General features: G+C 44.1%; 1 long non-coding RNA gene and 1 pseudogene across 1 annotated transcript, besides 1 other annotated feature; one reads left to right on the top strand and one right to left on the bottom strand.

The window, feature by feature from the left end:
• Window positions 11,113-11,613: an enhancer, noted in NCBI's record as "H3K27ac hESC enhancer chr2:131543220-131543720 (GRCh37/hg19 assembly coordinates)". NCBI's record gives its function as "activates a minimal SCP1, AML or CMV promoter by ChIP-STARR-seq in naive H9 embryonic stem cells {active_cell/tissue: H9 hESC(naive)}" and the evidence as "EXISTENCE:reporter gene assay evidence [ECO:0000049][PMID:30033119]".
• On the top strand, window positions 11,552-17,354 carry LOC124907891 (uncharacterized). The gene is made up of 2 exons (XR_007087240.1): window positions 11,552-11,708; window positions 17,115-17,354. It is a non-coding gene; the product is annotated as an uncharacterized LOC124907891 (long non-coding RNA).
• A 2,748-nt stretch (window positions 17,355-20,102) lies between these two features.
• On the bottom strand, window positions 20,103-20,668 carry CYCSP8 (CYCS pseudogene 8; annotated as a pseudogene).

The following is a 27,846-nucleotide window of genomic DNA, read 5'->3' as shown; positions in this document are numbered from 1 at the left end:
GAAAATTTGCTGGGTGTGGTGGCGTGCGCCTGTAATCCCAGCTACTCCGGAGGCTGAGACAGGAGAATCGCGTGAACTCGGGAGGCGGAGGTTGCAGTGAGCCGAGATCGAGCCACTGCACTCCAGCCTGGGCGACAAGAGCAAAACTCTGTCTGGAAAAAGGAAAAAGAAAGAAAAAGCCCCCAGAGTCGGGTCTAGCCAGGGTCCCCAGCAGACAGTTAATCAATGAAAATGGGCCAAGTGCAGTGGCTCACGCCTGTAATCCCAGCACTTTGGGAGGCCGAGACGGGAGGGTCACGAGGTCAGGAAATCGAGACCATCCTGGCTAACATGGTGAAACCCCGTTTCTACTAAAAAATACAAAAAAATTAGCCGGGCGTGGTGGCGGGCGCCTGTAGTCCCAGCTACTCGGAAGGCTGAGGCAGGAGAATGGCGTGAACCCGGGAGGCGGAGCTTACAGTGAGCCAAGATAGTGCCATTGCACTCCAGCCTGGGTGACAGAGCGAGACTCCGTCTCAAAAAAAAAAAAAAAAAAAAAAAAAGAAAGAAAAAAAGAAAAGAAAGAAAGAAAACGCATGGCTCTCAGGGCCCTGGAGGCTGGAAGGGTCTATTTCCCATGCATGACTCCCTTGTAAGAGGATACAGGGCCCTGCAGAGCTCAGGAATGCAGAGTGGGAGGGGGACAGAGGCAAGCACACCTGCAGAGGTGACAGAGGAGAAGGCTGTGGAAGGCCGAGGGCTTTGAGTGGTCTGGCAGCCACAGTCAGCAGGAAGTGGCCTGGGGCTTTGCACCCTGCAGCCTGGCTCTCCCCACGCTCTGGGGTGGGACTGCAATGGTGTTGAGTCACTGCATACAGCCTCTGTCATATATTCTTCTGGTGCTTTTGTTAAGTGTGAGAACCACTGGCCTACACAATGGAGAGATGGGCCTGGGCCCTGGAGGGAAGGACTTGGAAGAAAGGGTAGACCAATTCAGAGACTGAGGGAATGGGAGCCAGCGGAGGTTCCAGCAGGACATGCTGCAGGAATCGATGGGCCATCTCTATGGGGAACTGCTCTTCTAGCAGTCCTCCTTCCTTTCATCTGGATGTGGGGCTTACACTGTTCCCACCCATGCCCATGAGCTGTCACACTTCTGGAGAGCAGGGACAGGTGGGACCGGCTGGCTGCATAGGATGGGGCCTGGGTTATCACAAATGGTCCCAGTATGTGAGGCTTTGCACAAATTTTGTAGCTGGTTCTGTGGACTCATCTTGTTCAGCTCATGTTTGTTGTGGGGTTATCAGCAGGTCCCAGTTTGCCTGGGATTTCCCAATTTTAGCCCTGTAAGTCCTTCATCTGGATAAACTTCTCAGTCCTGGGCAGCTGATTTGGTGACCCTAGCCCCCTGCTCAGAGAAGGAAGGAGGGCATGCTGTCATAGACACTTGGCCCCATGGCACACTTGCTCTGTCCCTTGGCCTGTAGGTTACTCCTGGGTGGCTCTGACCACACTGTCTTTCCCGAATCTCTCCTGCTGTCAGGAAACCCTGCCATTCACCTCCTGGTCAGTTTATAGCACCCAGAGGCCTCTTGGAGCTGTTGTCCTCACACTGAATCAATGACCCAACAGGAAGTGTAACCAGCCACAGTCAGATGAGCCAGCAGTCAGGCTGTTCTGAGATGGCCCCTGGCTGCTAAGCAGGCAAGGACAGGGAGTTGCTGGGTTGAGGATAGCCTGACCGTGGGGCTCCCAGTGCAGTGGGAGGCAGAGCTGCCAGACCACACAAGCCAGTGGTTCTCTTCCACACTGTGGGGTTTGAGCCCTCCTAAAATGAAAATGCCCTAGCAAGAAAAACTTAGAATATGTATTTTCAAAATTTCACTTATAATAGCAATGAAATACATAAGGTTTCTATGAATAAAAAGTAAAATGGATGCAGTCCTTCATAGAGAAAATGGCAAAACTGAAAAGAAAGCCATTAAAGAAAGTTTATATAAATGGAGCAATATATGTGAAAAAATGTCAATTATCTTCAAATTCATGCACTTTCCTGCAATTCTACTAAAATCTGAGCAGCTTTTAGGGGGAGACTTGTCAAACTGATTCTATAATTTATATGGAAGAGTGATGAGCTATGACCATTATAAAAATAAAGAACAAGATGGTAAGCATTGCCCAACAGATATTCAAGATGTCATAATTAAGGCAGAATGTACTGGCACAGGGAAAAAACTGACCAAGGAACCAAATCCCAGTAGCAGCCCCTCCCACATAGTGAGACTTGGTTTGTGACAGAGCTTGCAGATCCATGGGGAAAGTATGGGCCGGTAAATCAATTTTCTGGAACAATTGGTTATCCATTTAGAAAATCAAGTAGAGTTGGATCTTTGCTTTAAATCATGAACAAAAATAAATTGCATGTGGGTTAAAGACCTAAGTGTAACAAACCACATTTGAAACTGCCGGAAGAAATGGTAGGAGGCTATATTTATAAATTTGCAGTGAGTAAGGATTTCATTAGCAAGACACAAAAGCACAAATCATATACAAAAATATTGATGAAAAAACAAAAAGATGGCCGGACGCAGTGGCTCACGCCTGTAATCCCAGCACTTTGAGAGGCTGAGGTGGGCGAATCACGAGGTCAGGAGATCGAGACCATCCTGGCCAACACCCTGTGTCTACTAAAAATACAAAAATTAGCTGGGCGGGCCGGACGTGGTGGCTCATGCTTGTAATCCCAGCACTTTGGGAGGCAGAGGTGGGTGGATCATGAGGTCAGGAGATCGAGACCATCCTAGCTACCACTGTGAAACCCCATCTCTACTGAAAATACAAAAAATTAGCCGGGCGTGGTGGCGGGCGCCTGTATTCCCAGCTACTTGGGAGGCTGAGGCAGGAGAATGGCATGAACCTAGGAGGTAGACCTTCCGGTGAGCCGAGATCGCGCCACTGCACTCCAGCCTGGGCTACAGAGCGAGACTCCGTCTCAAAAAAAAAAAAAAAAAAAAAATTAGCTGGGCATAGTGATGCATGCCTGTAATCCCAGCTACTTGGGAGGCTGAGGCAGGAGAATCACCTGAACCAGGGAGTCAGAGGTTGCAGTGAGCCAAGATCGTGCCACTGCACTCCAGCCTGGTGACAGAGCGAGACTGTCTCAAAACAAAACAAAACAAACAAACAAAAACAAAAAGAAAACCCATAGATAGGAAGAAAATAGTAAATTAGTATCCAGAATGCATAAAGAATTTACAAAAATCAATAAGAATATTAAAAAAATGGATCAAAGACATGAAAAAGCATTTCACAGATGAGGAAGTGTGGATGGGCAGGAAGTACCTAAAAAGATGCTTTGCCTCATTAGTCACAGAGAAATGCCAAGTGAAACCATAATAACATATTATTTGACACCCTCTAAATGGCTCCAGTGGAGAGTATCTGACAATGTGCAAAGCCCTGTTCTCTGTCCATCACCTGGAAGAGGAGAGCAGCTTGGCAATGGAGTGAAGTGCTTCCTTACAGCCTTCAGTCCCAGTGTCTACTACTTCTTTTCCTTAAAAATGTACTGCCCAGCATCAAAAAGAAGAAAATATTTAAAGATAAATTAATAAAAGAAGTGCAACACTTGTACACTGACAACTCTAAAACATGGTTGGAAGAAATTAAAGAGAAATAAATGGAAGGACATCTTATGTTCGTGAATTGGAACACTTAATGTTGTTAAGATGGAAATACTCTCCAAACTGATCTATAGATTCATCACAATCCCTATCAAAATCTCTGCTAGCTTTTTCGAAGAAATTGACAAGTTGAACATGAAGTTCATGTGGAAAGTTAGGGACCCAGAATAGCCAAAACAATTTTGAAAGAAAATTCATACCTCCCTATTACAAACCTACTACAAAGCTGTAGTAATCAAGATAGTGTGTTAATGGTATAGGGAGAGACACAAGATAAATGGAATCAAATGGAACCAAAGGTTCAAATAGAAACCTTCACAATTATGGTAAAGTAATTTTTGACAAGTGGGCAAAGACAATTCAATGAAGGAAAGAATATTCTTTTCAATAAATGGTGCTGGGACAATGGATGTCCACAAGCAAAAGAATAATGTCATACCCTACCTCAGACCATATACAAAAATTCCCTCTAAATGGATCATAGACATCAATGCGAGACCTAAAACTATCAAACTCTTAGAAAATATAGGAGTAAATCTTCATGAACTTGGGTTAAGCAATGGTTTCTTATATATGGCACCCAAAGCATAGGCAACAAAAGAAAAAAACAGATACACTGAATGTCATCAAATCGAAAGTTTTTGTTCATCAAAGAACACCATCAATAAAGTGAAAAGATAACCCACAAAATGAGAAAAATATTTGCAAAATATGTATCTGATGAGAGTCTAGTAACCAACACATATTTTTAAAAACTCTTAAAATTCAGCAGTAAGAAGACAAAATTCTCAGTGAAAAACCAGGCAAAGGTTTGAATAAGCATTTCTTCAAGTGGTCAATACGCACAACACCATAGTCATTAGGGAAATACAAATCAAAATCCCAATGAGATAGCATTTCACACCCACCAGCATGGCCAGCATAAGTGTTTGAGAGGATTTAAAGAAATTGGAAACTTCGTACACTGCTGGTGGAAAAGTACAATGCTGTGGCTGTTTTAGAAAACACTTCAGCAGTTCCTGAAAATATTAAAGAGTTACCATTTGGCCTAGTGATTCCACTTATATGTATAAAGCCAAGAGAAATGAAAGCATATGTTCGCACAAAAACTTATACATGAATATTCATAGCAGCATGATACATAATAGTCAAAAAGTGGAAACAACTCAAATGTCCATCAGTTTATGAATGGATAAATAAAGTGTGACATGTCTATAAAGTAGAATATTATCCAGCCATAAAACATAATGAATTAGCGACACATGCAACATAGGTGAATCTTGAAAATATTACACTCGCTGAAGGAAGATGGTCACAAAAGAGTATCTATTGTATAATTCCATTTGTATGAAATGCTCAGAATAGGCAAATCTATAGAGGCAGAAAATAGATTAGTGGTTGCTAGAGGCTGGGGGAAGAAAGAATGGGGAGTATGGGTGTTTTGTTTTTGTTTTTGTTTTTTTTAGAGGGGATGAAAATGTTCTAAAATTACATAAAAGAACTAACTGGGAGGGATGCTCAATTCTGTGGCTAGACTAAAGCCATTAAATTATCCACTTTAAAAGGGTGATTTTTTTGGTATTCAAGAGGATGCTAATTTTTAAAAAGGGGTGAATTGTATGACATGTAAATTATATCTCAATAAAACTATTATTAAAATATTAGCTGCCTGTGCAGCAGCCCAGGAGAGCATGGGGCAGGTGCAGGGGTTCCTGTGGCCTGGCCACAGGCCTGCTGACTGCTGTGTCTGGCTGAGACAGGCTCCCACACATGACCCGTACTTTTGAGGAACATAACATCCTCTCTGAGCAGCCCCGGAGTCAGCAGGCCCTCCTGAGGTCCACGTGACAGTTGGGTGATGAGCACCTCCTCCACTGCAGGGCTTGCTTGCTTTTACCTGGTAAGCCCACTTAGTAAACAAGTTCCACATGGCCAGAGGTGACTGTTAAGGAGTCCAAGTGGCAGTAAACAGGCATTCGCTGCCAATTCTGTGTCTTGGGAATTCCCCAGGAACAACTCTTGTCTTGATTGGTGGTCAGAGCTTGTTGTCCAGCTTCCCTCTCAGTGTGCTGTTTGCTGGCCATTCACCATGAGGGGACAAGTGTCACCTGCCTCCTGAGTGGCATGTGCCACCCTGGGCAGTGGCGCTGAGCATTTATGAAGCCTGACACTCTACCACTTTGAGCCTGAGGGGAAGCTGTGAGGACTCAGCATGTCAGAGAGACTGCACGTATGGGAGAATGCACGCACGGGAGCCGGAGGGACGCAGAGGAACCAGTGTGAGGCACCAGGGAAGACACACCGCAGGCTTGCCTCCTCAGTGCTCCCAGAGGTTGACCATGGACTCATGTGAGGACTTTTTCTTCCCTGTTACCTAAGTACAGGCAGAGGTGGATCCAGGCCTCCACCTAATTCCTGTGGTATCAGGCTGGGGCTGAAGCATCCACTGTGGCCGGGTGACCAGCTGGCATGTTCCTTGGCTGGAGGAAGAGTCAGATGTTGGAGCATGTCAGTGAGCTATGTTCCACAATCTCTGAGCCCAAAATGGAGCTAAGAACAGCTACCTTGCAAGGCAGTTGCTAAGAGACAGCAAGTGCATGCTCTGGGCCAGGCACGTGATGCTCAGTAAAAGAGGGAGTGGTAGTTATTCCTAGATGAGAGTTTCCATAAAACACAGCTCCTTATTCTTCTCACCCTTTTCTTCTCATCTTCTCTGCTTTCAGGCCAAGCTCAGTGTGTAAAGAAAGTCAGAGTCAGAGAAGGCAGGCCCTGCTCCAGGCTCCAAGGGCCTGCTCTGTCCAATGAGCCTTGAGGTCTTTTGCACTTGTGCTTCTGGCCGGGAAGTTCCTGGAACCCTTAGGAGCTCTCTTCCCTCCCTCAGCACCAGCCCCTTTCCATATTGTTTGATACTTGATCATTCATCCCTGGATCGTAGCAGTGGGTGTGGATGATCAGCCTTTATTAATGAAGTTTATGCTGTCCTCAGAGAAACCTAGGGATCTGTGTGCAAGTGTAGACAGTAACTTATGAGATGATTTACTTCCTATACCCTCTCCCTGTCACCCTGACCCTGAGTCACTGCTGTCGTTACTCAAGCCTGAGGATGGCAGGAATTGAGGGAGGCCCCTTACAATGGCTTAGGGCTTCCAGAAGGCCAGAAAAACCTGTTCCATCTTATTGATGGGAGAAAAAGATGTATGAGCAAAGTGCCAGGGATTCCCCTTGAGGATTGGGCTGGGATCCTCTAGTTGTGCTTCTGATGGGCATACCCAAGGAACTCAAGTTAGATTTCTCTAATACTATCCATCCATCCATCCATCCACCCACCCACTCATCCACCCATTCATTCATCCATCCACTCACTCATCCATCCATTCACCCATCCATCTATCCATCCATTTACCCACCTACCCATCTATCCATCCATACATCCACTCATCCATCCATCCATCCACCTATCCATCCACCTGTGCAGACATCCAGCATCCATTTCTTGGGCAGCATCTCAGCCTGATGCAATATGCCAGGAGTTTTAGGACACTTACCTTTCTCCCAGGGAGCTCATAGGTATGTACACACAATAATACATAATAATCATGTGTCACAGAATGTGACCAGCTTGGGAGGTTGAGGTGGGTGGATCACTTGAGCCCAGGAGTTTGAGACCAGCTTGGGCAATATGGCAAAACCCCATCGCTACAAAAAATACAAAAATTACCCAGGCATGGTGGTGTGCACCTGTGGTCCCAGCTACTTGGGAGGCTGAGGTGGGAGAATCAGCTGAGCCCAGGAAGTCGAGGCTGCAATGAGCTGTGATTATACCACTGCACTCCAGTGTGGGTGACAAGGTGAGACCTTGTCTTAAAAAAAAAAAAAAAAGTGACCAGCTATGAACGGCTATATACAAACAGCTATAAACAGACCGGGCACAGTGGCTCATGCCTGTAATCTGAGCACTTTGGGAGGCCAAGGGGAGCAGATTATGAGGTCAGGAGATCGAGACCATCCTGGCTAACACGGTGAAACCCCGTCTGTACTAAAAAAATACAAAAAAATTAGCTGGGCATGGTGGTGGGCGCCTATAGTCCCAGCTACTTGGGAGGCTAAGGCAGGAGAATGGCGTGAACCCAGGAGGCAGAGCTTGCAGTGAGCCGAGATCGGGCCACTGCTCTCCAGTCTGGGTGACAGAGCGAGACTCTGTCTCAAAAACAAAACAAAACAAAACAACCCAAATACAGTCACATTGGGAGTTAGGGCTTCCACCTATGATTTTGGGGGAACACAATTCAGCCCAAATCACCAGCCCTCTTTAATAAGTACAGGGTGGGGAATATTGATTAGTTGCTATAAAGGCACAGGGATAAAAAGTTTATCCTTTAAATATTTTATCGTATAATTGTGTCTTATTTAACAAACTCTTATACAGTATTTATTATAAGTTAGGCACTATTTTAAGAAATGTACAAGTATTAATTCGTGGGGTGAAGGACCTATTTGACATCAATTTTAATGTTTTTCCCATCCTGCCATCGTAAAGTTGATATACAGGCCGGATGTCTTGCTGGAAGGATGGGGAAGTCCCTGGTAATAACGATTATTATTACATGTATACTCAGGTTCCATGGCCTCTAACTTGTATCCATGAAACCCTGCATGATTGTTACATGAAATTTATTTGTCACTGTTTGCTATAGAATATTTGTCAGCTCCCTCCAAGGCAGCAACTGTTTGCCTCCAGAAATTGAATTTGCTCAGCGCCTATATTGTAATTAACCCACTGACCATCACCTCGTGTTCTTGTTATCATTTCCTCCTTCTAAATTTAAATTGCTTAAATACTCTTGCTTCTTGGGAAATATACCTTCAGGTTTTTCTCCCCAGTTACCAGATATTCACTGTAAAAGCGCAGCACCATCTCTATCTTCATTCTCCGTGAGCACAGAAACACACATGCGAACACAGCCACGGGGTGCCCCAGACAAGATGCCGTTTAGAACTAGGCTTCCTTCTGTCCGTTTTCTACCAGCATCCTGAGGCTGGCTCTTCCCGTCCTCTCCCATGATGCTGTCTTCTGCCCATGGCAGGAGCACCACCCCTGTGCCAGTCCTTCTCTGCCCTCCTCTCCAAGTTTATTTCTGCCTGAAACTAGTGCCCCCCACCGTGCCTTTTCTTTTTCTTTTATTTTTTTAATGTTTGTTTGTTTGTTTATTTATTTATTTTGGGACAGAGTCTCCCTCTGTCACCCAGACTGGAGTGCAGTGGCGCGATCTTGGCTCACTGCAGCCTCTGCCTACTGGGTTCAAGTGATTTTCCTGCCTCAGCCTCCTGAGTAGCTGGGATTACGGGCACGCGCCACCATGCCCGGCTAAATTTTTGTATTTTTAGGAGAGGCAGAGTTTCACCATGTTGGCCGGGATGGTCTCGATCTCCTGACCTCGTGATCTACCCACCTCGGCCTCCCAAAGTGCTGGCATTACAGGTGCAAGCCACCGCGCCTGGCACACCGCCTCCCCGCACCACGGTGCCTTTTCTTCTGGTTCTTTGCCTTAACCTCACCGCGGGGAGTCCTGACCAGACTTTTCTGTCGCCTGGGCTTGCAGCCACCTGCCGGATGCTGACCAGTACCAACCAATGCACACCTCCCCGGGGTGGGCCCAGGCGGTCAGTCTCCATGGGTCTCTACTCTAAAACTGCCTGAGAATGCCTGTGAGACGGAGAGCAATTAGAAGATATGACTTTATAATAGAGTCTTGTCAAGGAAGTGGAGGAAGAAAAAGAAACAATGAAAAAGGAAACAAGTGCTTGTTTGCTTGCTTTTTAGAATCGGACAATGGCCACCAAAGTGCTATGGTGCTTCGATTCTGTTGAATAAATTTAGAAGCATGATATTCACTTTTTGTTTTAAAATATTAATTTTTAGGATACACGGGTGAGTATATCCTTTACAACCATTTAGACATTCTTGAGATAAAAGGAAGTTGGGGCTGCTGTTTAAAAATGTTCAGGGGACTATATAGATTTTCAAAACAAATGGGCCGGGGTTGAAGATGGAGAGGCCGCTGTGAATCCAGTGCAGTGGAGGGCAGTGCAGTCAGCAGGTGCTTAGTGCTCAACAGTGGCCTGCACCTGGGAGGCAGTGTAGACGGGAGCTCAGGGCAGCACCCTGCCTGAGTCGCTGACTTCTTAGACTAGTAGAAAAGGCAACCTTTGTGGATAGCTGACATGGTTTGGGTCTGTGTTCCTGACCAAACCTCATGTCTAATTGTAATCCCCAGTGTTGGAGGTGGGGCCTGGTAGGAGGTGATTTGATCACAGGGGTGATTTCTCATGAATGGTTCAGTACCATCCACATTGATGCTATTCTCATGATACAGTTCTCACGAGATCTGTGGTTGTTTAAAAGTGTGCAGCACCTTCGCCCACACTCTTGCTGCTCCAGCCATGTGCTGCTCCTGCTCCCCCTTTGCCTTCTGCCATGATTGAAGCTCCCTAAGGCGTCCCCAGAAACAGAAGGGGTCATGCTTCCTGTACAGCCTGCACAACCCTGAGCCAATAGTCTCTTTTCTTTTCTTTTCTTTTCTTTTCTTTCTTTCCTTCTTTCCTTCCTTCCTTCTTTCTCCTTCCTTCCCTTCCTTCCTTCCTTCCTTCCTTCCTTCCTTCCTTCCTTCCTTCCTTCCTTACTTCCTTCCTTCCTTTCTTCCTTCCTTTCTTTCTTTCTGGGACAGAGTCTCCCTCCGTCACCTAGGCTGGAGCGCAGTGGCGCGATCTCGGCTCACTGCAACCTTCGCCTCCCGGGTTCAAGTGGTTCTCCTGCCTCAGCCTCCCAAGTAGCTGGGACTACAGGTGCCCACCACTGCACCTAGCTAATTTTTGTATTTTTGTAGAGACGGGGTTTCACCATGTTGGCCAGGCGGGTCTCAAACTCCTGATCTCAGATGATCTGCCCGCCTCGGCCTCCCAAAGTGCTGGGATTACAGGCGTGAGCCACTGTGCCTGGCCCAGGCCCTCTTCTTTATAAATTACCCAGTCTCAGGTATTTCCTTATAGAAGTGCAAGAATGGACTAATACAATAGTCTTCAGTCCTAAGAGCCCTCTATGTCTGTTCAATAACTCCCGTGAATAAGACAGTATTGTCGATTATTTTAAAAGAAGATCTGGGCTCTGTTTCTTCCCAAGGTCGCTGTTCACTGAAGATGTGAGGAGTGCGCTGGCCGCAGCAGCCCAGGTGGCCCCTTGCCTGCCTGGCCAATCAAGGGTGGCATGTGAATGCCACCAGCCAACAAGCACAGGGACCACACAGCGACCTGCTCACTAGCTGTAAATGCCACCATTATGATTGGAATTGTATGTCCCCCAACTCACATGTTGAAGCCCTAGCCTCAGTACCTCAGAATGGGGCTGTGTTTGGAGGTAGGGCCTTTAGAGAGGTGACTCAGTTACATCGAGGCCTTCAGGGTGAGCCCTCCATTCAGTGTGACTGGGGTCCTGAAAAGAAGACAATGTTTGGGCATTCAGAAAGACACAGGACCACAGGCTGTGTGTGCACAGAAGAAAGGCCACGAGAAGGTGACCATCTGCAAGCCACAGAGGGAGACCTCGGGGGAACCGACTCTGCCGGCACCTTCATTGTGAACCTGCAGCCTCCAGAGCTGTGAGAAATACATTTCTGTTGTTTAAGCCTCCCAGTCTGTAGTATGTTGTTATGGCAGCTGGAGTGAACTAGCACAGCCACTGGAGTTTGGCCAACAAGCACACTGAAGCCATGAGAAGTGAACCATTTGTTTCAGAGAAGTGTAATCAAGCCAAAAAGAAAACAATCTCCCTTAGCACTCAGGGTGAACGCCAACCTTGAGCTGACTGTCATTGTGGAAAACTGGGGCCTTCTTGACTGACCTAACTGGACAGATGGCGATGGAGGAGGAGGCTGTGCTGACACATTCGGCTGAGCTCCTGCCTGTGCTTCCCAGCAGCTGCCCACACCAGCCACAGGGATCACGCCCAACCTGCCTGGAGCACCGGTGAGACGTACGGAGCCATAAGGAGAGGTGAGCAGTGTCGCAAAGCTGTTCTTGGTTGTCATTTTTGGGTGGGTGGGTGGGGGTGGCACCAGTGCTGACTTAAAAATACATATATAGGCCAGGCGCAGTGTCTCATGCCTGTAATCCCAACATTTTGGAAGGCTGAGGCGGGCGGATCACGAGGTCAGGAGATCGAGACCATCCTGGCTAACATGGTGAAACCCCATCTCTACTAAAAATACAAAAAATTAGCCGTGTGTGGTGGTGGGCGCCTGTACTCAGGAGGCTGAGGCAGGAAAATAGCTTGAACCTGGGAGGCGGAGGTTGCAGTGAGCCAAGATCGTGCCACTGCACTCCAGCCTGGGCGACAGAGCAAGACTTTGTCTCAAAAAAAAAAAAAAAAAAAAAAATATATATATATATATATATATATATACACACACACACACACACACACACACACACACACACACACACACATATATGTATAAATACTTTTTTTACTTTAGAAGTTTTAGATTTATAGAAAAGTTTCCAAAAGAGCTTAAGAGTATAGCACAGAGTTTGCCCACACTCCTCAGGCATTTCTCTTGCTATTAACATCTCATACTACTATGGTACATTTGTCATGACTAATTCACCAGTATTGATACATCATTATTAGTAACTCAACTCCATACTTTGTTCACATTTCCTTAGTTTTTCCTTAATGTCCCTTTTCTGTTTCAAGATCTTATCCAAATGACCACATTCCATTTAGTGGTCATATCTCCTTATTCTCTTTTGGGCTGTGACATTTTCTCAGCCTAAAATGATGTTTTGATGAGTTTGACAGTTTCGAGAAGTACTGGCTAGACATTTTATAGAATGCCCCTCAATTTGGGTTGGTTTGACATTTTTCTTATAGTTTTTTTCTTGTAGTTAGACTGGGCTTACAGGTTTTGGGAGGAAGACCATAGAGGTGAGGTACCATTCTCCCCACATCATATCAAGGATAGCTCAACATGACTCAATCACTGTTAATGTTGGCCCTGTTCGCCCAGCTGAGGTCATCTTTGCCAGGTTTATCTATGGTAAAACTACTTTTTATCCCCTTTCCTCACTGTACTCTAGAAGAAAGTAACCAAGTACAGCCCAGACACCCTTTGGGCATAACTCAATATCACATTATTTTCTGTTGCTGCTTAAATCGCTCCAGCCATTCATTTGGCCATTGGACGCTCTTTCAGTCGGCGCCTGTGTCCCTTTAACATACTCTCATTATTGTGTGTGTGTGTTTAGCACTTTCTTAATTCCTGGCATTACCATATGCTCCAGGCTCATCTCATATATTCTACAATCAGCCATATCTCCAAAGACCCTTATTCCTTTTACAAGAGATCTGGAGGCTGGGTGTGCTTATTGCTACAGGGTGTCACTGCTTCTAGGCTGTTTTAGTAGACTGAGCTAGGAAATAGATGTATGTACACTGACCCAAATATACACATATACCTATAACTACTTCCACATTTACCCATCAGTACATTAAGCTAAACATGAGTTCATTCTGCTGTCTCTGATTCTAATCCATGGCCAAATGTTTCACTGTAGCCTTCCCTTCTTGTTTATCTGCGACCTCCACCTTCAGCAGTGAGAAACCTGGCTCCCGCATCTGCCATACCACCATCCCTTTACTAGTTAATCCAAAATTCAATCCCAGTATGCAAGTACAGTGAGTTCAGAATTGTTAGTTTGTGCCCCCACAGGAACATACTTTGCATGATTATTATTATTTTCAATTTTTAATGTGTATTTCATGGTCCAGGTGTGGGTCTGTTTTTGTGAATGCTCCATGTGTGCTTGAGAAAAACATGTATTCTGCCACTGTTGACTGGAGTATGTTATAAACTCAATTAGACCAAGTTGATTGACAGTGTTGTTCAGATTATCTATATTCTTACTTATTTGCTGCCTGTTTGATCTATCAATTATTGACAAAGGACTGTTGAAGGCTTCGATTATAATAGTGGGTTTACCTAATTCTCTTTTCAGTTTTATCAGTTTTTACCTGACATATTTTGATGCCCTACTATTTTATAATTATCTAATGGTCCTTTTTATCTTTCATAATCTTCCTTGTTCTAAAGTCAGCTTTAGGCTGGGCGCATTGGCTCATGCCAATAATCCCAGCACTTGGGAGCCCTAGGTGGGTGGATCACCTGAGGTCAGGAGTTCAAGACCAGCCTGGCCAACATGGTGAAACTTTGTCTCTACTAAAAATACAAAAATTAGCCAGGCATAGTGGTGCATGCCTGTAGTCCCAGGTACTCGGGAGGCTGAGGCAGGAGAATTGCTTGAACCCGCAAGGAGGAGGTTGTAGTGAGCTGAGATCGCACCACTGCACTCCAGGCTGGGCGACAGACTGAGACTCTGTCTCAAAAATAAAAGAAGTCAACTTTGTCTGAAATTAATATAGCTACTCCATTTTCTCTTGCTTAGTGTTAGCATTGTATATCTTTCGCTGTACTTTTACTTTTCACATGTCTGTGTCAGGATATTTCATGTGTGTTTCTTATAGACAGCATGTAGATGGGTCTTTTACATTTAAAAAAATCCAATCACATATGACTTTCTTTTATCGGGTGTTCACATTTAAAGTAATTGTTGATATAGTTGGAGTAAATCTACCATTTTGTTAAGTATATATATTCATTGCATTTGCTCTTTGTAGCCTTTCCTTCTCTTTTCTGCCTTCTCTGGTTTTAAGTATCTTATATGATTACATTTTAGCTCTATCTTAACACATCATTAACACTCCTTAAAAATGTTTTTTAGTGGTTTCCCTAGGATTGACAACATACATTTTAAAATTGTCTACGACCACCTTCAAACCACATTATCTGTGGATTGCAGCTACTTTACAGCAGGGTTGTCCAATTCTTCCCTCCTGTGCCTGATGACATTACAGTTATTCGTGTCACTTATCCATGGGCTATAAACCAACACATTGTTACTATTGTTGTTTTAAGCAGACAATTATCTTTTAGATCAGTAAAGAATAATAAAAATAAAACTATTTATTTTACCCTAATTTATTCCTTTTCTTGGGCTCCATCTTTCTTTATGTAGATCCAAGTATATGACCTTATATTATTTTTCTTCTGTCTAAATAACTCATTTTAATATTTCTCTTTTTTTGAGATGGAATCTCATTCTGTCACCCAAACCAGAGTGCAGTGGCATGATCTCAGCTCACTGCAATATCCGTCTCCCTGGTTCAAGCAATTCTTCTGCCTCACCCTCCTGAGTAGCTGGGATGACAGGTGCACGCCACCACACCAGGCTAATTTTTGTATTTTTAGTGGAAATGGGGTTTCACCATGTTGGCCAGGCTGGTCTCAAACTCCTGACCTCAAGTGATCTACCCACCTCAGCCTCCCAAAGTATTGGGATTACAGGCATGAGCCACTGCGCCCAGCTTCATTTTAATATTTCTTTCATGGTTTCTGATGAGAAGTTTATTATAATTCTTATTCTTGATCTTTTGTGGTTAAAGTGTCCACCCTCAATAACTTCTGGCTTTCTTTAAAATTTTCTGTCTTTGGTTTCTGCAATTTGGATATTACCGAATCCAGAATCCCACACACACGTCCAGGGTGTGTGTGTGGGTGGGGGGTGTTTGATGTTCTCTGAAGTTCTTAGATCCGTGGTTTTTTGCCTATCATTAATTTTGGAAAGTTCTCAGCCATTATTTCTTCAAAACTCTTTTTTTTTTTTTTTTTTTGGAGATGGAGTCTTGCTGTGTCGCCCAGGCTGGAGTGCAGTGGCGAGATCTCGCCTCACTGCAAGCTCTGCCTCCTGGGTTCACGCCATTCTCCTGCCTCAGCCTCCCGAGTAGCTGGGACTACAGGCGCCCGCCACCATGCCCGGCTAATTTTTTGTATTTTTAGTAGAGACGGGGTTTCAACGTGTTAGCTAGGATGGTCTCGATCTCCTGACTTTGTGATCCGCCTGCCTCGGCCTCCCAAAGTGCTGGGATTACAGGCGTGAGAGACCCCACCCAGCCCAAAACTCTTTATATGCCTAATATAGTTTGGCTTTGTGGCCCCACACAAATCTCATCTCAAATTGTAATCCCCACATGACAGGGGAGGGCCTGGTGGGAGGTGATTGGATCATGGGGGCAGTTTCCCCCGTGCTGTTCCCGTCAATAGAGTTCTCACATTCTGCTTGTTTGATAAGTGGGTGGCTCTTCACTCTTCCCTCTTTCTCTCTCTCCTGCTGCCATATAAGATGTGCCTGCTTTCCCTTTGCCTTCTGCCGTGGCTGTAAGTTTCCTGAAGCCTCCCAACCCTGTAGAAGTGTGAGTCAATTAAACCTCTTTTCCTTGTAAATTACCCAGTCTTAGGTAGCTTTTGTTTGTTTGTTTGAGACGGAGTCTCCCTCTGTTGCCCAGGCTGGAGTGCAGTGGCGTGATCTCAGCTCACTGCAAGCTCTGCCTCCCGGGTTCATGCCATTCTCCTGCCTCAGCCTCCCGAGTAGCTGGGACTGCAGGCACCCGCCACCGCGCCTGGCTAATTTTTGTATTTTTAGTAGAGATGAGGTTTCACCTTGTTAGCCAGGATGGTCTTGATCTCCTGACCTGGTGATCTGCCCGCCTCAGCCTCCCAAAGTGCTGGGATTACAGGCGTGAGCCACCGTGCCCGGCCAGTCTTAGGTAGTTCTTTATAGCAATGTGAGAATAGACTAATACAGTCCCATTTTCTCTTTCTGCTCCTTCTGGTAATTGCATATATGTTACACTTTTTGATCTGTCTCACAGTTTGGATGCTGTATTCTTCTCTGCTCTTCCCTGCACCCACCTACCCAGTTAATTTTCTCTTCGCATTTCAATTTTGGAAGTTTCAATTCTCTGTCTTCATACTCACTGATTTTTTTTGCTTTCTTTTTTATTGTGGTGTAATATACATGACATAAAATTTACCATTTTAGTCACTTATATGTGTACAATTGAGTGGCATTAGGTACATTCACAATATTGAAGCTGAATTTGCAAAGATTATGAGAGCACAAGAAGTCTAGCATGGCTGACTCCATCTTGCTTCTAGCCTCACAGGCTGGCTGTCCTTACTCATTTCTGGGTGTAGGCCAGGCTAACCGTAGGAAGAATTTAATTTATAGTTTAACTTTGAAGCAAGGATGATAACAGTCCCTCCCTAAAACTAACCTTCTCTTTGCTCAGGGATCTAAAACCACCTTTTTATGACTATTGAAAGAGACCACAAGATTAAGATTATGAGAGCAGCCTGAATTCTGCTAAGATGTAGGCATAACTTGCCTTTCTATAGTCATTTACTGTGCTGGAGGTCACAAGATTTATAATGTTCCCAATTGCTCCTATAGATAACATCATTATTGTAGAGCCTAAGATTGGCCTTTGGTACTGTTTTTCAGACTTCTGCATTCTGGTGACCAACTGACTCCACCTGGACCCGTGATTCCTGACTCAACAGGTCCTGTGGCCCCCACCCAGAAGTTGACTTAGCACATGAGGACCATTTTCCACATCCCTATGACTTCATCCCCAGTCAGCATCATCCATTCCCTAGCCCCCTGCCTGACAATTTATCCATAAAAACTCTAGCCTCTGAATTCTCAGGGAGGTTGATTTGAGTAATAAACTCCATCTTCCAATTGGCTAGCCCTGTGTTAATTAAACTCTTTTTTAAATTATTTATTTTATTTTTGCTGCAAAACCTTGCTGTTCTCAGTGCATTAGCTTTTCCAGGCAGTGGACAAGATGAACCTGTGGGTGATTGCAATATTGTCAAACTATCACCACTATCCAGTTCCAGAACTTTTTCATCACCCCAAACAGAAACTCTATACCCATTAAAAAGTCACTCTATTCTGCCCTCCCCACTAGCCTCTGGTAACCACTATTCTACTTTCTGTCTGTATGAAGTTGCCTATTCTAGGTACCTCATGTAAATGGAATCATGCATTTGTCCTTTAATGCCTAGCATAACATCTTCAAGGTTCAACCATGTTCTAGCATATATCAGAATTGCATTCTTTTTTATTCCATTGAGTGCTTATATCACATTTTATTTACCCTTTTTTGTGTCGAAGACCATTTGGGTTGTTTCCACCTTTTATCTATTGTGATTAATGCTGCAGTGAAGAATGGAGTATAAATATCTTTGTTGAGTCTCCACTTTCATTTCTTTTAAGAATATACTTAGGGATAGAATAGATGAGGTTTTTTCTATGTTTATGGTATAGTATTGTGTATTTTCTATGTCCAAGATTATGGTAATTTCTTTCTTTTTTTTTTTTTTTTGAGACAGAGTCTCGCTCTGTTGACCAGGCTAGAGTGCAGTGGCACCATCTTGGCTCACTGCAACCTCCGCCTCCCAGGTTCAAGCAATTCTGCCTCAGCCTCCCAAATAGCTGGGACTATAGGCGCATGCCACCACACCTCGCTAATTTTTTTTTTTTTTTTGTATTTTAATAGAGACAGGGTTTCACCATGTTGCCCAGGCTGGTCTCGAACTCCTGAGCTCAGGCAATCGCCTCGGCCTCCCAAAGTGACAGGATTACAGGCATGAGCCACCGCGCCCGGCTGATTATGATAATTTCTATGTTTCATTTTTGAGAAACTGCTAAGCTGATTTCCACAGTGGCTGCACCATTTTACCTTCCCAACAGGAATGAACAAGCGTTCCTATCTTCCCATATCCTTGCCAACAATTATTTTCCATTTTTTATTCCAACAGTCATCCTACTGGGTGTGAAGTGGTACCTCATTGTGGGTTTTGTTTGTTTGTTTTTTGAGAAGGAGTCTCACTCTGTCGCCCAGGCTGGAGTGCAATGGCATGATCTCTGCTCACTGCAACCTCCGCCTGCTGGGTTCAAGCAATTCTTCTGCCTCAGCCTCCCGAGTAGCTGGGACTACAGGCGTGCACCACCACGCCTGGCTAATTTTTGTATTTTTAGTAGAGACAGTTTCACCATATTTGCCAGGCTGGTCTCGAACTCCTGACCTTGTGATCTGCCCACCTCGGCCTCCCAAAGTGCTGGGATTACAGGCGTGAGACACCGCGCCCGGCCCTCATTGTGGTTTTGATTTGCATTTCCCTAGTAATCAGGGATAAGCAAATATGCATGTTTTCATGTGCTTATTTGGCATTTGTGTGTCTCCTTTGAAGAAATGTCTATTCAAGGCTTTTGTCTATTTTTTAAAGTTGAATTATTCGTCTTTTTGTTGTTGAGTTGCAGTAATTCTTTACATATCCTGAATATTAATTTCTTATGAGATTCGTGAAGTGCAAATATTTTTTCCCATCCTTTAGGTTGTCTTTTCACCTTCTTGATAGTGTCCTTTGATGCACAAAAGTTTTTAATCTTGATGAAATTCAATAACTGTTTTGTTTTACTGTTGCTTATATTTTTGGTGTCATATACAAAAAATCATGGCAAAATCCAACATCATAAAGATTTCCCTCTCTGTTGTCTTCTAAGATATTTATAGTTTTGGTTCTTATGTTTAAGTCTTAGTTCCATTTTGAGTTAATTTTTGTATATGGCATAAATTAAGGGTCCAACTTCATACTTTTCATGCAGATATCCAATTTTCCCAGCATCATTTGTTGAAAAGATGGCCCTTTCCCCATTCAATGGTTTTGGCAACCTTGTCAAACATCAACTGACTATAAATTGAGGGCCACTATGTCTGTCCTTATGCCAGTAACACCCTGGTTTTGTTATAATCTGTCATTTTGTTTATAATTATCAAAGTCTTATGATCACACACAATTTCTAAATTAATGTATATCTTCTCCACTTTAATCCTTCTAATACATTGACAAAAGCACCATTACCAATCACACGTACACAGTACTTCTACAGTTTTACGTGCTTGAATCATTTAAAGGCAATCCTAAATTATAACTTAGTCAGATTTAGATAGCAAAGAATTCAAAAGTAAATTTTACCTTACTACTATTTCTTGTTACACTGATTTTCAGAAGCATCTGACTTTATAGATCATCTATAAAATTTGAGAAGTGTTTTAACTATTCTTTATTTGATATTACACATAAAATGCATTTCAATTAGTAAAAGGCAGCATTTTAGATCCAGGGAATTCTAATTGGATTGGCATAGTTAAGACCAAAAATATAAAGTAGACATTGCTGTCTTATCTTCAGCCCTTGCCTTTTACAGGGTAATGAACACAAATTAAAACATAGGTGAGTCTTGCTTGGTTCTGAGACAGTATTTAAATATATTCATAAAGACAGTTATAGAACTCTAAATATAAAACCAATCCCCAATATGTTTTGAGACGGCATTCACCACCTTTATGAAAAGTTGAACGTTACTAATGAAGTCCAATCATATCTTCAGAAGGGGAAAACAGTGATAACATTTACTGAATTGAAATTACTATCAAAGTTCAAAAAAACAGTCATATTCATTTAACCACAAGCTAGTGTGACTTAAATCAGGACTGTCCAACAAAAAAGGTCTGCCACTCATTCATGATCTAAATTCTGGTGTATGAGATCAATTAAATTTTGGTGCACATGAAGTTATGAGACCTTTGTTTTGTAATAAATAAAGGCAGTGGCCAATTATTACTCATTAGTGGCTTTTTTGAGATAAGTTATCAAGTCTGTTCTTTCTACCTTCTTGTTAATGCCAGTGAAGACTGTTTTTGTTCCAAGGATGTAATTCTCTGGATTCTTCAAATACTCCACCGGTGTCTCCTCTCCCCAGGTGATGCTGTGTTCTGTTGGCGTCTGTGTAAGGGGATCCAATGGCCTGACCTGGCTGCTGCCCAGAGCCCATGGAGTTCTGGCCCAGTCTGTGCTTGCCTCTTTTTTCCACAGTGTGGCACTGGGTACCCTTGTGAACAAAATCTTCTTGCCTTTTACTACGTTACTCCTGTTAAATTCTCTCCTTTATCACTCACACTATGAAGATTCCCGCTTGGAAGCTGGCTAATGCTTCTCTTAATAGCACCTTGTTGTGATTACATAGCTTTATAGTAAGTTTTCACATCCGCAAGTGTGAGTCCTCCAGCTTTGTCCACACTTGTGGTCATTTTGGCTATTTGGGATCCCTTGAGATTCCATATGAATTTTGGGATGAGTTTTTCTATTTCTGGATAAAAAATCCATTGGGACTTTTATGGGGATTGCATTCAATCACTTTAGTTAGCGTTGTTATTTAACAATATTAGTCTTCCAGTACATGAATGTGGGATATCTTTCACTTATTTATGTCTTAAATTTCTTTTAGCAGGCCAGGCACGGTGGCTCACGCCTGTAATCCCGGCACTTTGGGAGGCCCAGGCGGGCGGATCACGAGGTCAGGAGATGGAGAACATCCTGGCTAACACGGGGAAACCCGGTCTCCACTAAAAATACAAAAAATTAGCCGGGCGTGGTGGCGGGCGCCTGTAGTCCCAGCTACTCAGGAGGCTGAGGCAGGAGAATGGCGTGAACCCGGGAGGCGGAGCTTGCAGTGAGCCGAGATGGCGCCACTGCACTCCAGTCTGGGCGACAGAGCGCGACTCCATCTCAAAAAAAAAAAAAAAAAAAAAAAGAAATTTCTTTTAGCAATGCTTTATAGTTTTTTGTTTGTTTGTTTGTTTGAGATGGAGTTTCGCTCTTGTTGCCCAGGCTGGAGTTCAATGGTGTGATTTCAGTTCGCTGCAACCTCCGCCTCCCGGGTTCAAACGATTTTCTTGTCTCAGCCTCCCAAATTGCTGGGATTATAGGCATGCCCCATACCACCACGCCTAGCTAATTTTTGTATTTTTAGTAGAGACCGGGTTTCTCCATGTTGGTCAGGCTGGTCTCAAACTCCTGCTTCGGGTGATCCGCCCGCCTCAGCCTCCGGAAGTGCTGGGATTATAGGCGTGAGCCACCGCGCCTCGCCTGTTTCATAGTTCTGTTTTCTTTTGTGTTTTTGAGACGGAGTCTCGCTCTGTCGCCCAGGCTGGAGTGCAGTGGCGCCATCTCGGCTCATTGCAAGCTCCACCTCCCAGATTCAGGCCATTCTCCTGCCTCAGCCTCCTGAGTAGCTGGGACTACAGGCCCCCGCCACAACGCCCGGCTAACTTTTTGTATTTTTAGTAGAGACGGGGTTTCACTGTGTTAGCTAGGATGGTCTCGATTTCCTGACCTCGTGATCCGCCCGCCTCGGCCTCCCAAAGTGCTGGGATTACAGGCATGAGCCACCGCACCCAGCCCATGTTTTATAGTTTTTAGTGTACAATTATTTCACCTGTTTGGTTAAATTTATTCCTAAGTACTTTTTAACGCTATTATAAATGGAATGTATTTGTTAATTTCCTTTTTGTATCATTCATTGCTAGTGTATAGAAATGCAAATGATTTTTGAGTGTTGATTTTGTATCTTGCAATTCCATTAAACTAATTTATTAGCTCTAATAGTTTTTTGGGGAGTCTTTAGGGTTTTCTACGTATAAAATCATGTCATCTGAGAACAGAAATAGGTTTACTTCTTCCTTTCTGATTTAGATGTATTGTATTTCTTTCTTTTGCCTCTTTGCTCTGGCTCTTCCAATACTATGTCGAGTGTAAGTAGTGAATGTGGGCATTCTTGTTTTATGCCTTATCTTAGGGAATAGCTTTCAGTCTTTCACTGTTGAGAGTGATGTTAGCTGTGGATTTTTCAGAAATTCCTTTTATCATGGTGAAGAAGTTTACTTCTATTCCTGGTACGTTATTTTTTTTAATCATGAAAGGGTGTTAGACTTTGTCAAATGTTTTTCTGCTTTTGAAATAATCATGTGATTTTGCTCCTTCATCCTATTGGAGTGATGTATTACATAGTTTGATTTTTGGATGTTGAATCATCCTTGCACTTCAAGAATAAAACTCACTTGGTCGTGGTGTGTAATCCTTTTAATATATTGCTGAGTATGCTTTGCTGGTATTTTGTTGATGATTTTTGCATCTACATACTCTTTTTTTTTTTTTTTGATACGGAGTTTCACTTTCTTGCTCAGGTTGGAGTGCAGTGGCGTGATCTCGGCTCACTGCAACCTCTGCCTCCTGGGTTCAAGCGAGTCTCCTGCCTCAGCCTCCTGAGTAGCTGGGATTACAGGTGCCCACCACCATGCCCAGCTAATTTTTTTTAGTAGAGACAGGGTTTCACCATATTGGTCAGACTGGTCTCGAACTTTTGTCCTCGTGATCTGCCCACCTCGGCCTCCCAAAATGCTGGGATTACAAGCGTGAGCCACCATGCCTGGCCTGAATCTACGTATTCTTAAGGAATATTAGTGTGTAGTTTTCTTGTAGTGGTTTTGTCTGGCTTTGGTATCAGGGTAATTCTGGTCTCATGAAATGAATTAGGAAGTATTCCTCTTTAATTTTTTTTGGAGAGATTGAGAAGAATTGCTGCTAAATCTTTAAAGGTTTGGTGGAATTCACCAGTGAACTCATCTTGCCCTGGGCTTTCTTTGTTGGGAGACTGGATTACTGATCTAGTCTCCTTACTCATTATACGTTTATTCAGATTTTCGATTTTATCATTATTCCTTTTCTTTTGTTTTTGTTTTTGTTTTTGTTTTTGTTTTTGTTTTTGAGACAGAGTCTCACTCTGTTGCCCAGGCTGGAGTGCAGTGGCACAATCTCAGCTCACTGCAACTTCCACTTCCTGGGTTCAAGCAATTCTCCTGCCTCAGTCTCCCAAGCAGCTGGGATTACAGGTGCGCACCACCATGGCTGGCTAATTTTTGTAGTTTTTAGTAGAGATGGGGTTTCGCCATGTCGCCCAGGTTGGTCTCAATCTCCTGGGCTCAAGTGATCTGCCTGCCTCGGTCTCCCAAAGTGCTGGGATTACAGGCATGAGCCACCACGCCTGGCTCATGAGTCACTTTTGATAGATGTGCGTTCTAAGAATCTGTCCATTCCATCAAGTTATCCAATTCGTTGGCATATAAATGTTTGTAACATTCTTCTATAATTCATTTTATTTTGGTAAAATTGGTGTTAATGTCTCCACTATTTCTAATTTTAGTGATTTGAGTCTTCTTTTATTCTGAGTCAATCTAGCTGAAGGTTTGTCAATTTAGTCTTTTCAAAGTACCAACTTTTGGTTTTGAAGATTTTCTCTATTGTTTTTCTATTCTCTATCTTATTTATCTCCACTTTAATTCTTATTATTTTTTTTCCTCTGCTGGCTTTGGGTTAGTTTTCTTTTTCTAGTTCCTTAGGGTGTAAAGTTGGGTTATTAATTTGAGATTTCTTCTTTTTTTAATGTATGCATTACGGCTATGAATTTCCCTCCTAACAGTGCTTTGTCTGCCTCCCAGGTTTTGGTATGTTGTGTTTTCATTTTCATTCATTTCAAGGCATTTTTAATAAAGCTCACTGGTCCCTTACTCACCCATGTCATGGGTACTGATGAGCCCATCAAAGTAATTACTCATTCCTAAGACAGTGCTTTGGATTTCTAACATTTCCTTTTTATTTTTCTTGGAATTCTGTCAGCTTACATTACCCATCTGTTCTTGTAACTTGTCTACTTTTTCCATTAAAGCTTGTACCATATTAATGATAGTTATTTTATATTCCATCTAATAATTCCAACATCTGTGTCATATATGAATCAGCTTCTAATGATTTGTCTCTTTAGGCTTTGGTTTTTCTTGCTTTTAACAGGCTTTGTAATTTTTTTGTCTAAAGCCAGACATGTTGTACATATTGGGCCATAGGCACTGAGGTCAATAGGCTTTCAATGTTAGGGTTTATTAATCTGGCTAGGAGTTGTAATATTTGTCATAGCTTTAGGCCACCAGCTGCTTCAAATCATTCTAATGGGCTTACTTTTTCTTCTTTCTTGTCTCTGTGGCTTCCTTTCATTCTGGTCCTCAGAGAGAGAGTTTGTCTCTTAGCTCTGTTAGCTGTGACCCACTGTTATTACTGGCGCCTTGTTAGTGTGGTGGCACCATGTGCTGGCAAGTGGGGAGAGGGGTGTTCCCTTGTCTTCTTTTTTTTTTTTTTGAGATGGAGTCTTGCTGTATCGCCCAGGCTGGAGTGCAGTGGAGCCATCTCGGCTCACTGCAAACTCCGCCTCCTGGGTTCACGCCATTCTCCTGCCTCAGCCTCCTGAGTAGCTGGGACTACAGGTGCCCGCCACAATGCCCGGCTTTTTGTATTTTTAGTAGAGACGGGGTTTCACCGTGTTAGCCAGGATAGTCTCGATCTCCTGACCTCGTGATCCGCCCGCCTCGGCCTCCCAAAGTGCTGGGATTACAGGTGTGAGCCACTACGCCCAGCCTCCCTTGTCTTCTAACCTCCAATCAGGCCTCATTCTTTTAGTTTCTGTGCCTCGGCCTCAGGGTGGGGCTAATCCTTCATAGCCCTGGTCCCTTCCCTGGCCAGTGTTTCCTGCTTGCTTTCTTGAAGTCCTCTCCCTTGTTGACTATCGCTTTATTTTCCCTTAGTTGAGACCTGAAGGATGGAGAGGACTGGAGTGGGGTAGAAACCCTTTAGCTTGAAAAGGTTTCAGAATAGCCCTCAGGGAAGACTTTGTTAAGGAGAAGTTTGGAGTATCCTCTTCGGCCGGGCGCAGTGGCTCACGCCTGTAATCCCAGCACTCTGGGAGGCCGAGGCAGGTGGATCACGAGGTCAGGAGATCGAGACCATCCTGGCTAACAAGGTGAAAGCCCATCTCTACTAAAAATACAAAAATTAGCTGGGTGTGGTGGCGGGCGCCTGTAGTCCCAGCTACTCGGGAGGCTGAGGCAGTAGAATGGCGTGAACCCGGGAGGTGGAGCTTGCAGTGAGCCGAGATCACGCCATTGCACTCCAGCCTGGGCGACAAAGCGAGACTCCATCTCAAAAAAAAAAAAAAAAAAAAGAGGACCCTGTTCCCCCACCTCCCCTTGCAGGGGTAGGGGTGGAAGGAAGGGTCTTTGTTTGATCCTCACTGAAAATGTGGAGTGGTTCCTGGAGGAAAAGCCTCTGACACTGCCCATCCCCCAGCTTCTTACTGCCTTTTACTGCCCATCCCCCAGCTTCTTCAGCCTGCAACAATGTGTCAACATTGTAATTTCAGTGTTTCTACCAGCTTTGGGTATCTGGAGACTTTTGCTCCCAACCACAGGCCTTGGTTGTTGAATTTCTCTGGATGGTCTGTCTCTCCAGGTTTCTGGAAGGTTGTTTGCCCTGGGACTTCATTTTTCAGAGGGGTCAAGAAAAAAAGCTGGTGTGTCCAGCTTTTTCTTGTTGAAGGATGAGAATGGCCACTTCCAAAGCCTTTACATGTAATAATAAAAAACATCTCCGCTCCCAAAGGCAGGGTGTGTGATGTTCGTATAGGCCTGCGGTCCAGGCATCTACGCCAGGGCCCCAAAACAGTGGTCAGTGGGTGGGAGGCGGAGGCAAGAGGCGCTCTTCATTAAAAAAAAAAAAAAATGCATCTTTTCTTCGACAAGTCAGTTTCATTTTTACAATCTCGAAGAGGACTTTAGTGGTAAACACTCCAGGAATGAAGGAGTGAGTGCAGCATTATTTTAACAGCAAATGGGAAGTAACTTGAATGTCCATCAACAGGGGAATGTTTAAATTAACCGCTCCCTCCAGGAGAGCAGCTGTGCAGAAGGATGGGGGAGCTGCCCACTGCGGTGCCTGCTAAGCTAGGGAGGATGTCCTGGGCAGTAAAAATTCATTAAAGTTCACGTGTTGTAAACTAAAAATAAAATCCTAAGCCCCCCACTGACTGAACGGAATCTGCTTGGCCAAGGGGACCCCAGAAAACCCATAAAATCTAAATTATCAGCCATGATAAGAAGGGAGGGCAGACACACCTCTTTATACCCCCTCCCTTTTGGAGTTTCGGTACAACTGACCAGCATTAATGTTGAAACAGAAACCATAAAACTGACAGAAGAGACTTTTTTTTTTTTTTTGAGACAGGGTCTCACTCTGTCCCCTAGGCTGGAGTGCAGTGGCATGATCATGGCTCATTGCAGCCTCAACTTCCTGGGCTCAAGTGATCCTCCCACCTCAGCCTCCCAAGTAGCTGGGACCACAGGTGAGAGCCACTATGCCCAGCTAATTTTTGTATTTTTTGTAGAGATGGGGTTTTGCCATATTGTCCAGGCTGGTCTCAAACTCCTGGACTCAAGCAATCTTCCTGCCTTGGCCTCACAAAATGCTAGAATTACAGGTGTGAACCACTGCACCAGCCAAAACAGACTCTTTGGGGCAATAAGATGCCAAATTATAAGCAAGACCTAAGGCCATGCAAGGCCAGGGTTAAGTCAGCCTGCAGGCCAGCAATCTTGCTACATAGATAGCATTCTTACTTGAACTGAAAACTTTCCTTTCTGCTGTCTCAAAGTTTTACACAGAGCCTGCCTCCTTTCACCAATTGCAAATTAAAGAATCTCTAAAGCCACCTATAACCTGTAAGCCCTCCCTCCCACTTCAAGACATCCCACCTTTTTGGGCTGGACCAATGTATACTTCCCTGATTGATTTATATCTCCCCCCCCCCTTTTTTTCATGTTTTATTATTTTAGGTAGATTTTTCAGGCAAGTATGATTTATGTCTTTGCCTGTAATCACTGCCTCCCTAAAATGCATAAAACCAAACTGTAATCCGACTGCTTCAGGCCCACTGACTCCGGACTTCTTGGGTTTGTGTTTTCCTGGGCCCGCAGTCACTCATATTGGCTCAGGGTAAGCCTCTTGAAGATATTCCACAGAATATGATTTCTCCGTTAACAGTATGTATGTCACGGGAATGCAAAGAGTCTGACGTCTCCCACCAGGGCTGGAGAAAAGGAGGGAAGGGGCCTGTGCACTGGGGCTGTTTGGATTGGGTGTAGTCACTGTTGTGAAAACACAATCCCAGGTGGCCCTGGCTCTGGACTGAGCTCCTGCCCCAGATCCCAACAGACCAGACCAAACCCCAATGCAGTCACTTGTGCTAAATGCCACATCACCAAACTGAAACTTTAAGCAGATAGATTCCAAAACAGACCAGTTTTTCCTGGAAATGAGAGATTCCAGTGTCCTGGAGTCCGTGTGATAAGCAAGCCCCTCTGCTTCAGCCCTTACAATGAAGTCACCTGAAGTAGCCTGTTGTTAACTGATCAGCTTCTTTCCTGTTACTGTTTTTTTGCCCCCAC

The sequence above is a fragment of the Homo sapiens genome, chromosome 2 (genome assembly GCF_000001405.40).
Source record: "Homo sapiens chromosome 2, GRCh38.p14 Primary Assembly".
NCBI lineage: Eukaryota > Metazoa > Chordata > Mammalia > Primates > Hominidae > Homo > Homo sapiens.
This window is presented reverse-complemented; position numbering and strand designations above follow the sequence as displayed.